The following is a 2,349-nucleotide window of genomic DNA, read 5'->3' on the forward strand; positions in this document are numbered from 1 at the left end:
AATAACAGAATAAAGGCTCTTTCCCTTCCACATGGTAATGCACAAAGGCATATTTAAGTGGAGCCCAGATCAGATACCCTGACCATACCTAGGACTGCACAGTAGGTGCAGGATCAGCGTTGGTGCTGTGTAGGGGTGGGTTGCAGCTGCAATACCAAAGTGAAGGATTGAGAGTGCTGTCTGGTACTCTGGGCTAAGAAGGGTTCTGAGCCACATCCAGGACTGGCAAGAGCAAGAGCTCTGGCCAAGTAGCCATGGACACGGGTGTGGGAATGGGGAGGTGTGAACTCTGAAGGTTTCCTTGTGGCTGTCCTTAATATAGCAGTAAACACTGAGCTAAGATGCAGAAGATCTGGGTTCAGTTTCATTTTTCTTCTTACAAGATATGTGACTTTACTCAATAACCTTACAGGACCTCTGTTTCTCTGTCTCTGAAATGGGTATATGAACGCTTGTCTTGCTGTATCTACAGGGCTTTGAGGTGATGTGCTGATCAAATCATGCCTGTGCAGAGTATTTCCTCAACTGCAGAGTATTTGAAGAAGCCAGTTACAGAGCAGAAAGCATACAGGCACTAGAGTGGAGATGCATGGGTTACAAAGTCAGACCAAGTGTCTCACTCATTTACATTGTGGCTTTGGGCAAGTCATTCATTCTCCTGAAGCCTCGATCTTTTCTTGTATAAAATAGAGATAATGACATCCTTGCATTACAGTCAATGCATCTGACTTGCCTATCTGTTCAGAGATTTAAGTGAAGCAAAAAGACAATAATGTGAATGATTGTGATCACCGTCACATAGTAGGTGCTGAAGAATTAGCTAGAAATACAAACTTAGGAAAGCACAAAAATATGCAAACAAAGAACTGTGAACAGAAGTGCACCCAGATGATAAACTAAGTTTTTATTCAGGGGTAGCACTATAGTTGTTATTGCTATTTTAGTTCGACTTTCCAACATTTTCTCTAATGAATATGTATACATTTTAGAAAGAAATAAAAATCAAAAGCACCGTGTTGATGGCTGCACAAATCTATAGATATAATAAAATTGCACAGGAACACACACACACACACACACTGGTGAAATCCCAATAAGACCTGCAGATTGTACCAATATCGATTTCCTGGTTTGATATGTATGACAATTATGTGGGATGTTACCACTGGGGAAAGCAGGAGATGGGTACACAGGCCTTCTCTGTATTTTTTTTTTTGCAACTTCCTGTAAGTGTATACTTATAAATAAAAGTTTAAAAACACTTTTTATTTATCGAACTAATCTGAGAGGGATCAAACAGTAGCTGCTCAAATGTTAATTCAATACATGAATGGATGGAGGGATGCATTCTTGATATTCCTACTTCTTTATTCATAAGTAAATTCCATCATGCTATAGACATGGTTGACGCTACTTTTCTCTGATCATGAGCTTTTGGCTTGGGAACAAGAATCTCTATCTGGAAGAATCATGGACACATTTTTGTAAATGCCAACTACATCACCTTTGAGAACAGACATTTTGTCCATGGTGATTCCAGACTACGGCTACAATGGGTGTCACAGAAGCATTCTTATAGGCTTAAAAAATCATTCCCTAAGGCAGAGAGTGGTGGCTCATGCCTGTATTCTCCGCTACTTGGGAGACTGAGGTGGGAGGATTGCTTGAGCCTGGGATGTCAAGGCTGCAATGAGTCATGATCATGCCACTCCACTCCAGCCTGGGCAACAGAGTGAGACCTTGCCAAAAAAAAAAAAAAAAGTCCTTCTCTGTAAGGCCAGAAGGGAGTGGATTGCCATCTGCTAGTGCATTGGATCTCAGTGCAGAATGGGAAGAGAAAACCAACCCAGCCATTGCTTTGGATATAACAGACCCCAAACGTAATAAAAATTGTGTTTATATGTTTCATTAGATAAATAAAGCTGACTTTGAGGTTGCTTCAAACCAAAAGTGAACTGAAACCAAGTTGACTGTACTTGGGGCAAAAAAGTAAATGCAATAGTGGCTGTCAATTTTGAGTGTCTCCTATAATAATATAAGCAGGGGCACTGCATATATAACGTCTTCTAATGTGGCCACGACCCTATGAGACACATACTCTAATCCAACCATGATCCTATGGAATACATAATCTAATCTGACCATGACTCTATTGTATATATATTCTAATCTGACTGTGGCCGTATGATATACATATCCTTAATTCTGTTTCATAGAGAAATAAAATATGGCTTAGAAGTTCAGTAACAGGAATTAGGGCATGACGATTAGTTAAGTAATGCTGCTGTAACAAATGAACCTTAGAATATCAGTGGTTTAACACAGAAAAAGTTTATTTCTTGTTCACAC

The 2,349-nt window shown here is 39.8% G+C and overlaps 1 annotated feature.

Annotated features, from left to right (window-relative positions):
• Positions 337-616: an enhancer, noted in NCBI's record as "active region_8995". NCBI's record gives its function as "activates an Ori minimal core promoter by ATAC-STARR-seq in GM12878 lymphoblastoid cells {active_cell/tissue: GM12878}" and the evidence as "EXISTENCE:reporter gene assay evidence [ECO:0000049][PMID:35858748]".

This window comes from Homo sapiens, chromosome 14, assembly GCF_000001405.40.
Source record: "Homo sapiens chromosome 14, GRCh38.p14 Primary Assembly".
NCBI lineage: Eukaryota > Metazoa > Chordata > Mammalia > Primates > Hominidae > Homo > Homo sapiens.